Below are 11,429 nucleotides of genomic sequence, written 5' to 3' on the forward strand. Positions count from 1 at the left end.
GAAGGTCTTTCTTCTTTGACTCTAGGTGGGGAAATCCAGAACGAGGCTTCGCCTCACCTGCCCTAATGCCCAATCTTCTACTAGCATTCCAGGCAGCGCTTTCTAGTCACGTGAGGGATACCTAACCACTGGAACTAAATAAGATGTGGGGGAACAACTGAGGTCATCACCTAAATTGCTTGATACTCTCTTTTCCAGAAGACGAGCCCCCTTTCTGAGTTTATGGCAGAAAGTGAATCCCTCCCTCCCTCCCTTCCTTTCTTTTTCTGTAAGACGGTGTTTCGCTCTTGTTGCCCAGGCTGGAGTGCGACGCCGTGATCTCCGCTCGCCGCAACCTCCGCCTCCCGGGTTAGAGCGGTTCTCCTGCCTCAGCCTCCAGAGTAGCTGGGATTACAGCCATGCGCCACCACGCCCAGCTAATTTTGTATTTTTAGTAGAGACAGGGTTTCTCCATGTTGGTCAGGCTGGTCTCGAACTCCTGACCTCAGGTGATCCGCCCGCCTCGGCCTCCTGGGATTACAGGCGTGAGCCACCGCGCCCGGCTAGAAAGTGAATCATTTCTATATTTGATTGTACGTGAAGCCCTCGGTAGTCCTTACTGACATCATGTCTCCTTTAGACTTTGATTACACTCCGTGTCCTTCATCTGACTCCTCTCTTCAGATTCCTGAGTCACGCTCTGTTTATGTTGCTGTTCAGGAGCGAACTGCGGCACCGCCCAAACACTGTGACGCCAGCGCGGGAGGAGGGCCGCGGGAGGGGCAGCGGAACGCGCAGAGGGCACGGTGCAAGCACGGGACAGCTCTGCATTGGCCAAAGGGATCCCAGGAGGCCTGGCCCTCTTTTCTCCTGAGGCTGGATCCCAACCAGCAGGAAAAGGCTGGATTTTCGCCTTTTGTATTTGTTTTGGGGCCCAACCAAGAAAAACAGTGGAGGGGGAATAAAACATGTTTAAATCTTTTTTTTGTCTTAAAACCATCTTTAATTTCACAGTCACAAAATAAAACATAACTCGAATGTTTTGATGTTTGCAGTGACATCGATTGTGAAAAAGGTTAGCCAGAAAGGAAACGCAGTGAGACAGAGCGCTCGGCCACCCCCTGCCCTGGGCGCCTGGCGCATGGGGGGCGGGGCGGGGCTCGCGGGGTGACGTCACAGCCCGACGCGCCACCCAGCTGTTTTTGTGCTCCCAGCTCTAGCGAAAAGCCGCCGGTATTTCTCCATCTGGCTCTCCTCTACCTCCAGGCAGGCTCACCCGAGATCCCCGCCCCGAACCCCCCCTGCACACTCGGCCCAGCGCTGTTGCCCCCGGAGCGGACGTTTCTGCAGCTATTCTGAGCACACCTTGACGTCGGCTGAGGGAGCGGGACAGGGTCAGCGGCGAAGGAGGCAGGCCCCGCGCGGGGATCTCGGAAGCCCTGCGGTGCATCATGAAGTTCCAGTACAAGGAGGACCATCCCTTTGAGTATCGGAAAAAGGAAGGAGAAAAGATCCGGAAGAAATATCCGGACAGGGTCCCCGTGAGTGTAGAGGAGCGGAGGGGATGGGAGGGGAAGGGCCCGCGGGGGCGGGGGCGGGTAGTCGAGATGGCTTCCCTGGGGCGCCCAGGCGGCTCTGGAGAAGGGAGGTTCCGAGAATTACTTAATCCTGAACGCCCTTCAGTGCCAGAGCCAATGGACGTCCAGACTGTAGAGCTTTTAAAACCCCGTATGCCTGGGCCCCGAACCCCACTTCAGGGCTGACGGCGTTTTGGGGGCCGAGCCGCCGTCTTCAGTGACTCAGCAACCCACACACGGTCTCAGCAGCTGAGACCGTGTGTGGGTTGCGGTGCACAAAATAGGGCCCCTGTGGGCGAGACTGGTTAGATCGGGGCCATGGATTGGCTGCCTTTAAGAACGCAGGGACATTGTGCTGTGCGGTGAGGTTTGCGCAAACCCAGTCGATTTCTGCCTTGGCTGGTTCTCCTTTAATGAAGTTGACTTTGGCTCTCATATCATTGGTCTTGGGACGAAAAGGTTCAGAAGCTATTCAGTAATTTTCTTGCATTACAGGGGGTTAGGGGAGCACAAGACAGTCCTGGCCTGGAAAACAAGGTCACGTTCTCTGCCCAACAGCCCTCTTGCCTCATCGTTCTAGGCTCCGGGGCTTGTGTGGGGACAGCCAGCCTCCTCGTGTTGATTTCTGATCACCTGGTACCTGGTCGCGATAAGGCAGGACTGAGACGTTTTTTCTCCGTTTTGGACACCGGCTTAAGTAGTTAAAACTACCGCAGGCAGTGAGTAGGAACAGAAAAGTATTAGGTATCTTTCAGCATCCGGGCGTTTTCCCCATTACCCCCTCCCCCGCCCACTTGCCTGGTGTTTCTCTAATGCAGGCTGCGCAGCCGAATTGGAGGGCAGAATATGGCTTAAGTGGTAGGGGGACCAGCAGCTGTTGGATTTTGGAAATGGAGGAGCGGAGATTTTAAAATTGTGCTCTTTATCTTCAGGTAGGAACATTAGTATTACGTGTCACATAATGGTAAAATAATTGCTGTTATCTGATGTCTTTTCTTGACTCACAGCCACTCTGGGTTTCTTCTCTAATCCTTACCTAACGTTCGTGGTTTTATAGCTACCAGAAGCCACCAGGGCCTTAGCCCAGCAGTAGAAACCTCTTGTAACCCTTTTCCTTTAAAAAGAAAAAAAAGTCATTAGGGCTCTTCATTCCCCAGGAATTACAAAAAGGTTTTCAGCTTATAGAGGGGTGAGCTAATCCCTTACTCGGGAAAGGATCCTTTACAAATTACTTTCCTGGTTTCTGGACCTTGGATACCTGAAAATTTTGCCCAGTTCTGGTGATACCAATCTTTTGAGCAATGATATTTAAAAAATACAATCAAGTTTTATTGATAGTTTACCCTAGCGGTATTATAAGTACTCAGTCTGTAATCATTGACTTACTTCCTTACACGATTACCCGTTCTACAGATGGAGTATTCAAAGCACAAAGAAATGCAGTAACTTCCTAAAGGTTTCACATTGCTGATCTGTGGTTGAGCTGGAATTCCAACCCTGTCTGAAGGACTGTGGAGCTCTCGGGTATCTTAACCTCCATGCCATATTGTTTCTCAGTTTCTAATATAGTTGTATTAACCAGAATTAATGACGTGCTGTGGACTTTACACTGTTAAGTATTGGAAATAGATAAATATTTATGTGCATTCACTCTGAATATTTTAGAGCATTCTGTTCTTTTCCTGCTCATAGTTTGGTGTTAAATGTTTTACTCCTGTGATAATTTTTAAGCCATTAAGCCTGTCACTCAGATTTCAGCTTTCCTAGGGTTATGTTTTAACCAGTGGTGAGCTGCTCCCAAGGTGACCAGTCTGTGACCTTCTTTCTAGTTATGACGCAGGTTCCTTGATTTGGTTCTAGTTCTGGGAATTCATTGCATCCTTGGGCAGAACTCTTAATCGTGCTGTGCTAGAGTGTCTTGTTTACAGAAAAGAGGGTTAGAGTAATGATTCCTGAAGCCCATTCCAGCTTGACCATTGGTGTTATTAAAGCAATGGCGTACCCTGACTGCTCGCATAACCAGAACTTAGCCCCACCAATATTTCTTCAGAGCCAGCGTTGAAAAGAAGAGGTGTGCTTGTGCCTTCAGAGAGGAAGGGTTGGTGGGATCTTGAAATTATCTTCAAAGATACAACATATCAAAAAAACTGTTAGGAACAGATTGTCTATTTTAAAAATTCATAACCCTACTGAGTATTAGTCACATTTTACAAATGAGGAAAACTGAGACCCAAAGAGGCAAAGCATCTAGCCCAGGGGTCTACCATAGTGAGGAGTAGAGCTGGGATTCCTGGAAACTTAACCTTGGTACTGGGAAACCAATATTTTAATGATTACCCCTCCCCCTTCTCTTCCTCTCCAAACCCCTCCCTTCCCTCCAGGTATTGCCCTCTGCTTTATCACTTTCTTTATCTGTCTTCCTTTGTGGTTTTTATCTCTTACTGCTAGGTGTCCGAGTTCCTTTGGGGCACAATGCTAGCCTCTTTCTGCCTTTTCCTTTTAATTCCTGGCTTACGTTACCCTATTTCAGTTTTTATTTTTAAATTTAAAATGTGATCATGTCCCTCTGGTCTTCCTGGTTCAGGATTTTTTCTACAAGAACACAAAACAACTTTTTGTTTTGTTTTGTTTTTGTTTTTGTTGTTTTTTTTTTTACTAATTTTAATTTGTTCCTTTTAATTTAAAAAGTTCAAACTCCCCCCCAAGTTAATTATGTTAGATAATTCTTTATAATTTATGAAGCATTTTCCTGTAAAATGTTATTTATTACTCACATTCACATCATATCAATACCATGACTTTGTTAAAGACGTGTTAGAAAGTTTTCTTTTCAAGCTGGGCACGGTGGCTCACACCTGTAATCGCAGTACTTCCGGAGGCTGAGGCGGGTGGAGCACTTGAGGTCAGGAGTTCGAAACCAGCCTGGCATCATGGTGAAACCCCATCTCTACTAAAAAATACAAAAATTAGCCGGGCGTGGTGGCATGCGCCTGTAATCCCTGCTACTCCGGAGGCTGAGGCAGGAGAATCGCTTGAGCCCAGGAGGTGGAGGTTGCAGTGATCCGAGATCAGGCCACTGCACGCCAGCCCGGGCGACACATGTGACACTCGACCTCAAAAAAAAAAGTTACTGGAATACTGAAGCTGAGAGAGAGGTTACGTGACCTGTTGAAGATCACACAGCCACTAGAAGTACTCATACAGTTTTTTTTTTTTCTGCGTCTTCACTTTTTTTTCTGCATTTCCCATATGTTCTAACTAAAATGACTATATTTTCTTTTCTTTTTTTTTTTTTTTTTTTGAGACCGAGTTTTGCTCTTGTTGCCCAGGCTGGAGTGTAGTGGCACGATCTTGGCTCACCGCAACCTCTGCCTCCCAGGTTCATGCGATTCTCCTGCCTCAGCCTTCCTGAGTAGCTGGGATTATAGGCATGCATCACAATGCCTGGCTAATTTTGTATTTTTAGTAGAGATGGGGTTTCTCTATGTTGGTCAGGCTGGTCTCGAACTCCCGACCTCAGATGATCCGCCCGCCTCGACCTCCCAAAGTGCTGGGATTACAGGCATGAGCCATTGCGCCCGGCAATGATTATATTTTCTAAACTAAAAGTCTAAAGCTCATGATTTTACAATAGATATTTTCTGTTTGGTAAGTTTTAGTGTATTAAAAATATCTTTTAAATTTTGATAAATCTAGTACAGAAATACATGATTTTTTTACAACTTGAACTATAGAAGTATATAACGTAGACATAAATCCCTTAAAATCCTAACAATCGAAAGCCTAAAGCTCATGATTTTATAACAGATATTTTCTGTTTGGGAAGTTTTAGTGTATAAAAAAATCTTTTATATTTTTATAGATCTAGTACAGAAATACATGATCTTTATTAGAAGTATATAATGTGGACATTGAAAATCCCTTAAAGTCCTAACATAATCAATATCTATAAATGGCTTGTTGTGCTGACATCATATTATAGGATATCATTGTCAGACTTGTTTTAACACTGTTTCTTTTCCATTTAATAATGTTTGAACAATCTTTACAGTTCTTGGAAATTTTGACAAAGATTTAAACCACGTTATTGGTACCTTTAATAAATGGTATTTATGAGAAATAATAACTTACAGGTGATCAGGACCATATGAGAAAACCCAGTTTTCTTGATGCTCTAATTAAATACCAGAAGGTGGCCAGGCACGGTAGCTCACATCTGTAATCCCAGCACTTTGGGAGGCCAAGGCAGGCAGATCACTTGAAGTCAGGAGTTTGAGACCAGCCTGCCCAACATGGTGAAACCGCATCTCTCTTAAAAATACAAATACTTAGCCAGGCGTTGTGGCATGTGCCTGTAATCCCAGTTACTCAGGAGGCTGAGGCAGGAGAATTGCTTGAATCCGGGAGGTGGAGATTGCAGTGAGCTGAGAGGGAGCCATTGCACTCCAGCCTTGGTGACAGTGAGACTTCATCTCAAAGATAAATAATAAATAAATAAATACCAATAGGTATATGTCCTATAGTAGATCTTACAGGTAACCTGTAATTACTTAAAATCAAAGTTCTTTTTACTTTTCATCATATACAATCTCTAGTTTATTTTTATTTTAGTAATGCAGCTATAACCTCATGAAGCCTATTTTTTTTGTATAATTTTATAAGGGGTGGGGGGATAAGAAATGAAACAGGTGTCCTGGGCCTAGACAGATTCATTTCCAGTAGTAACTAGGCAACTCTAGGGTGTAGAAGGAAAAATACTAGATTGCCTTCTGTAGTTTTCATTCCTACTCTCCTCCTCTTCTTCCAGGTGATTGTAGAGAAGGCTCCAAAAGCCAGGGTGCCTGATCTGGACAAGAGGAAGTACCTAGTGCCCTCTGACCTTACTGGTAATGCTCTTTGCCTTCCCTGACCCTTCCTCCGGTGAAAAAACTCTCTAGATCCTCATTACATGCATGAGATTGTGAGATTGAGAGGCAGTACATACTTGAAGGAAGTGAGTGGGATGCTCTGGAGTTATCTGATTAAAAAATGACTCAGGCTGGGCGCCCTGGCTCACGCCTGTAATCCCAGCACTTTGGGAGACTGAGGCGGGTGGATCATGAGGTCAGATCGAGACCATCCTGGCTAACACAGTGAAACCCCGTTTCTACTAAAAAAAATACAAAAAATTAGCTGGGCTTGGTGGCGGGTGCCTGTAGTCCCAGCTACTTGGGAGGCTGAGGCAGAAGAATGGTGTGAACCCGGGAGGCAGAGCTTGCAGTGAGCCGAGATCATGCCACTGCACTCCACCCTGGGCAACAGAGCGAGACTCGGTCTCAAAAACAAGAAGACTCAATAGTTCTTTCCCATCACCATGTCTTGTTGGATTTTGACACAGCAAAGCATAAGACATTGAAAGAAAGGATCAGATGCCCATTATTTAAACCACTTTTATTTTAATTAATTAATTAATTAATTAATATTATTATTTGAGATGGAGTTTCACTCTTGTAGCCCAGGCTGGAGTGCAGTGGCATCATCTTGGCTCACTGCAACCTCCGTCTCCTGGATTCAAGCGATTCTCCTGCCTCAGCCTGCCGAGTAGCTGGGATTGCAGGCACCTGCCACCATACCCGGCTACTTTTTTTGGTATTTTTAGTAGAGACAGGGTTTCACCATGTTGGCCAGGCTGGTCTTGAACTGCTGAACTCAGGTGATCCACCCGCCTTGGCCTCCCAAATTGCTGGGATTACAGGCGTGAGCCACCATGCCCCACCTAAACCAATTTTAAAATTCAGCTTTGGCTGGGGGTGGTGGCTCACGCCTGTAATCCCAGCACTTTGGGACGGGGATGTGGGCAGATCACCTGAGGTCAGGAGTTTGAGACCAGGCTGGCCAACATGGTGAAACCATGTCTTCATTAAAAATACAAAAATTAGCTGGGTGTGTTGTTGGGCACCTGTAATCCCAGCTACTCAGGAGGCCAAGGCTGGAGAATGGCTTGAACCTGGGAGGCAGAGGTTGCAGTGAGCCGAGATCGCACCACTGCACTCCAGGCTGAGTGACACAGTGAGACTCCGCCTCAAAAAAACAAAAAACAAAAAAAAAAAACCCCAAAATTCGGCTTTGTTAATTGTGATATCAATTTGTTCCAAAAAGAAAACCAGTCTGGCTTCTTGAGAGGATTATATTTTAGAGTTTCCTGATTAAATACATCTTCTTAAGCTACATTTTTTTAAACTAAGTTTTGTAGATTTTGTTTGAGATTATAAGACATATATTCATTGTTGGGTGTGGTGGCTCATGCCTGTAATCCCAGCACTTTGGGAGGCTGAGGCGGGTGGATCACAAGGTCAGGAGTTTGAGACCAGCCTGGCCAACGTGGTGAAACCCCGTCTCTACTAAAAATACAAAAGTTAGCTGGGCATGGTGGCGCGTGCCTGTAATCCCAGCTACTCGGGAGGCTGAGGCAGGAGAATTGCTTGAACCTGGGGAGGTGGAGATTGCAGTGAGCCGAGATTTCGCCATTGCGCTTTCAGCCTGGGTGACAGAGTAGAACTCTGTCTCGGAAAAAAAAAAAATACATATATTCAGTCTTCATCGTGATCCTTAATGGAATACACACTGCATCCAGGACACACTGGAAAGATTTTGTTGATTTGCTCCAGAGTTAATAGGTTTGAATATCAGCCATCTAGAAAATTTTCAGTATTCTCAAGTAAAGGCAAAGCATTGAACCTTGTTTAATGCCCCAACACTGAGGTGACTGACTGTGCTAAGATGACCAGAGTCCAGTGGACCCCTTTCCATTGCTAAGTTTTTCTTAGGGAGGGTCTGGGGATGGAAAGAGTTTCAAGTCAGGTTTAGACAGTGATGGGAATGTTTTGGTCTGGATGCACATGGTATTCCTTCAACGTAGTCCTCAGGCTTTGAGTGGATATGCTAACATGAGGTCTGAGATTGAATAAGAGGGGAAAGGAGGAATAAATTCCACTATGGCAAGTCAGGGACTGTGTGGGCTTCCGAGTTTCCCTTTTTATTTTGAAAGCTCCAGGCCGGTATTTGGCTCTTCTCAGATGGTATATAAAGCTGGTACTGACTCTAAGGTGAAAAAATGCAATTGAATTTTTTTCCAGGACTTACCCTTCTACTAATTCCTTGTTTTCTTACTTTCTTTTCTGCCCTTTTCTTCTTCCATCATCCAGTTGGCCAGTTCTACTTCTTAATCCGGAAGAGAATCCACCTGAGACCTGAGGACGCCTTATTCTTCTTTGTCAACAACACCATCCCTCCCACCAGTGCTACCATGGGCCAACTGTATGAGGTAATGGTTCTGGTTGCACAATACTGGATGCCGTCCAGTGCAGTCTGGCATCCTCTAGCCCTTGTTCTAGATGCGTTGATAACACATCTGAGAAGTGGGGCAGAAGGTGTTATTTATCCGGATCCTCTTACATATGGCAGTGTAAGGCTCTGAGAGATTAGATACCTCTTGTTTTTTAGGGATTAGCCACTCTACTAGATTTAATCCTTCTGAAATCTTGTCTGACTATAGTCTTGTCTGACTATAGTGTTTTAATGCTGGACTGTTTATTGAAACAGCAGGAAGTGATTCCTGATAGCAAAAGTTCCAAAGCGTCAGCCCATCGCAGTTCCTGCTATTCTGGTTGGTAGCATGTAATTTGTAATGCATTCAGAATCCAGTTCATTATTTTACTCCCATTTAGCAACAGATTGAGAAAGCACGTAATAGTAAAGCCAGCTCCTTCTAACTCTGAGGCCAGCCTCTGCCAACTGAAGGATTCTCCCCACAGTCAGCTTCTTCTATGAACTCTGAAGTTTTGGCTTAAGACAACCACATTGATACTAAACAAGGGGAAACTTTTCTTAGAACAAAACTAAAACTGTGAAACAGATTCCACATTATCTGGGCACAATGAATCAGATAAAATGAAATATAAAATTAAGGCAAAGTCTGTAAATGGATTCATGTCTTAACAGATAAACTCAGGAGGAATAATTTTTATGTGATGTGGTTTAATTGGAAGTGTCAGAATCTGAGGAAACTATAGTGAAGGACTTTATTATTACTGAAAATATAACCTGGGATTATAACTATTGTTTTTTGCAGTATTTTGCATAAGATGCTTCCTTCTCATTGTGCTCCGTTAATGAATTACGTAAACTTCTAATAATCCTGAATCTTTTTTTGCATAGCATATATTCCCTGTTAGTATATGTCCCATTATATATCCATCTGTGGTATCTATGTTCCCCTTGCTAGGAGTGAGCTCTTTAAGAGTGAGGACTGTGCCCTAGTCATCTTCATATCCCTGATACCTATGTGTAATATGTTTTCAATGAAGGATTTTTGTTTGTGAACTCAGAGCTCAAAGTGTAATTCCAACCACTTCTCCCTATCCTTTGCTCCTCTTTTAAATGGGGACTAATGATACCTTCCATACCTGCTTTACAAGGTTGTGTGAGGCTCAGCATCTTAGAGCTAATGAATGAATATGTTTTCTAAACTGTTGTCTTATCTCTTCCCCTAGGACAATCATGAGGAAGACTATTTTCTGTATGTGGCCTACAGTGATGAGAGTGTCTATGGGAAATGAGTGGTTGGAAGCCCAGCAGATGGGAGCACCTGGACTTGGGGGTAGGGGAGGGGTGTGTGTGCGCGACATGGGGAAAGAGGGTGGCTCCCACCGCAAGGAGACAGAAGGTGAAGACATCTAGAAACATTACACCACACACACCGTCATCACATTTTCACATGCTCAATTGATATTTTTTGCTGCTTCCTCGGCCCAGGGAGAAAGCATGTCAGGACAGAGCTGTTGGATTGGCTTTGATAGAGGAATGGGGATGATGTAAGTTTACAGTATTCCTGGGGTTTAATTGTTGTGCAGTTTCATAGATGGGTCAGGAGGTGGACAAGTTGGGGCCAGAGATGATGGCAGTCCAGCAGCAACTCCCTGTGCTCCCTTCTCTTTGGGCAGAGATTCTATTTTTGACATTTGCACAAGACAGGTAGGGAAAGGGGACTTGTGGTAGTGGACCATACCTGGGGACCAAAAGAGACCCACTGTAATTGATGCATTGTGGCCCCTGATCTTCCCTGTCTCACACTTCTTTTCTCCCATCCCGGTTGCAATCTCACTCAGACATCACAGTACCACCCCAGGGGTGGCAGTAGACAACAACCCAGAAATTTAGACAGGGATCTCTTACCTTTGGAAAATAGGGGTTAGGCATGAAGGTGGTTGTGATTAAGAAGATGGTTTTGTTATTAAATAGCATTAAACTGGAATTGACAAGAGTGTTGAGCATCCCTGTCTAACCTGCTCTTTCTCTTTGGTGCCCCTTATCTCACCCCTTCCTTGGAATTTAATAAGTCTCAGGCATTTCCAATTGTAGACTAAAACCACTCTTAGCATCTCCTCTAGTATTTTCCATGTATCAGGACAGAGGTGTCTTATGTAGGGAGGGGGCAAGTATGAAGTAAGGTAATTATATACTACTCTCATTCAGGATTCTTGCTCCCATGCTGCTGTCCCTTCAGGCTCACATGCACAGGAATGCTACATGATGGCCAGCTGCTTCCCTCCTTGGTTATCATCCACTGCAGCTGCTAGTTAGAAAGGTTTGGAGGGATGACTTTTAGTAAATCATGGGGATTTTATTGATTTATTTTCACTTTTGGGATTTTGTGGGGTGGGAGTGGGGAGCAGGAATTGCACTCAGACATGACATTTCAATTCATCTCTGCTAATGAAAAGGGTTCTTTCTCTTGGGGGAAATGTGTGTGTCAGTTCTGTCAGCTGCAAGTTCTTGTATAATGAAGTCAATGCCATCAGGCCAAGGAAATAAAATAATTGCTTACCTTAAAAA

At 44.7% G+C, this 11,429-nt stretch overlaps 1 protein-coding gene and 1 long non-coding RNA gene across 3 annotated transcripts, besides 2 other annotated features; one reads left to right on the top strand and one right to left on the bottom strand.

Moving 5' to 3' along the window:
• Positions 415 to 957: an enhancer, noted in NCBI's record as "H3K27ac-H3K4me1 hESC enhancer chr12:10364713-10365255 (GRCh37/hg19 assembly coordinates)". NCBI's record gives its function as "activates a minimal SCP1, AML or CMV promoter by ChIP-STARR-seq in primed H9 embryonic stem cells {active_cell/tissue: H9 hESC(primed)}" and the evidence as "EXISTENCE:reporter gene assay evidence [ECO:0000049][PMID:30033119]".
• Positions 1,051 to 1,310: a silencer, noted in NCBI's record as "silent region_4237". NCBI's record gives its function as "represses an Ori minimal core promoter by ATAC-STARR-seq in GM12878 lymphoblastoid cells {active_cell/tissue: GM12878}" and the evidence as "EXISTENCE:reporter gene assay evidence [ECO:0000049][PMID:35858748]".
• GABARAPL1 (GABA type A receptor associated protein like 1) lies at positions 1,178 to 11,429 on the top strand. 2 transcript variants are annotated; one of them, NM_031412.4, is made up of 4 exons: positions 1,178 to 1,520; positions 6,364 to 6,442; positions 8,741 to 8,859; positions 10,088 to 11,429. In NM_031412.4, exons 1-4 carry the CDS (start codon positions 1,431 to 1,433, stop codon positions 10,151 to 10,153), a joined length of 354 nt encoding a protein of 117 aa, NP_113600.1. In that variant the 5' UTR covers positions 1,178 to 1,430; the 3' UTR covers positions 10,154 to 11,429. The 2 variants fall into 2 exon arrangements, with proteins under 2 accessions (NP_113600.1, NP_001350527.1); NM_001363598.2 differs by lacking the exon at positions 10,088 to 11,429 and having other exon boundaries at positions 8,741 to 9,283.
• Positions 1,950 to 3,368, bottom strand: GABARAPL1-AS1 (GABARAPL1 antisense RNA 1). The gene is made up of 3 exons (NR_170310.1): positions 2,943 to 3,368; positions 2,355 to 2,670; positions 1,950 to 2,263 (listed from the first exon to the last, which is right to left on the bottom strand). It is a non-coding gene; the product is annotated as a GABARAPL1 antisense RNA 1 (long non-coding RNA).

Source organism: Homo sapiens, chromosome 12 (assembly GCF_000001405.40).
Source record: "Homo sapiens chromosome 12, GRCh38.p14 Primary Assembly".
In the NCBI taxonomy this organism is placed as follows: Eukaryota; Metazoa; Chordata; class Mammalia; order Primates; family Hominidae; genus Homo; species Homo sapiens.

What these genes read in the sequence shown, in the direction of transcription:
- GABARAPL1 (NM_001363598.2), top strand. Translation starts at nt 1,431, where the DNA reads ATGAAGTTCCAGTACAAGGAGGACCATCCCTTTGAGTATCGGAAAAAG. An exon ending in AATATCCGGACAGGGTCCCC is followed by an intron (nt 1,521 to 6,363) that starts GTGAGTGTAGAG and finishes CTCTTCTTCCAG; the next exon opens with GTGATTGTAGAGAAGGCTCC. An exon ending in AGTGCCCTCTGACCTTACTG is followed by an intron (nt 6,443 to 8,740) that starts GTAATGCTCTTT and finishes TCCATCATCCAG; the next exon opens with TTGGCCAGTTCTACTTCTTA.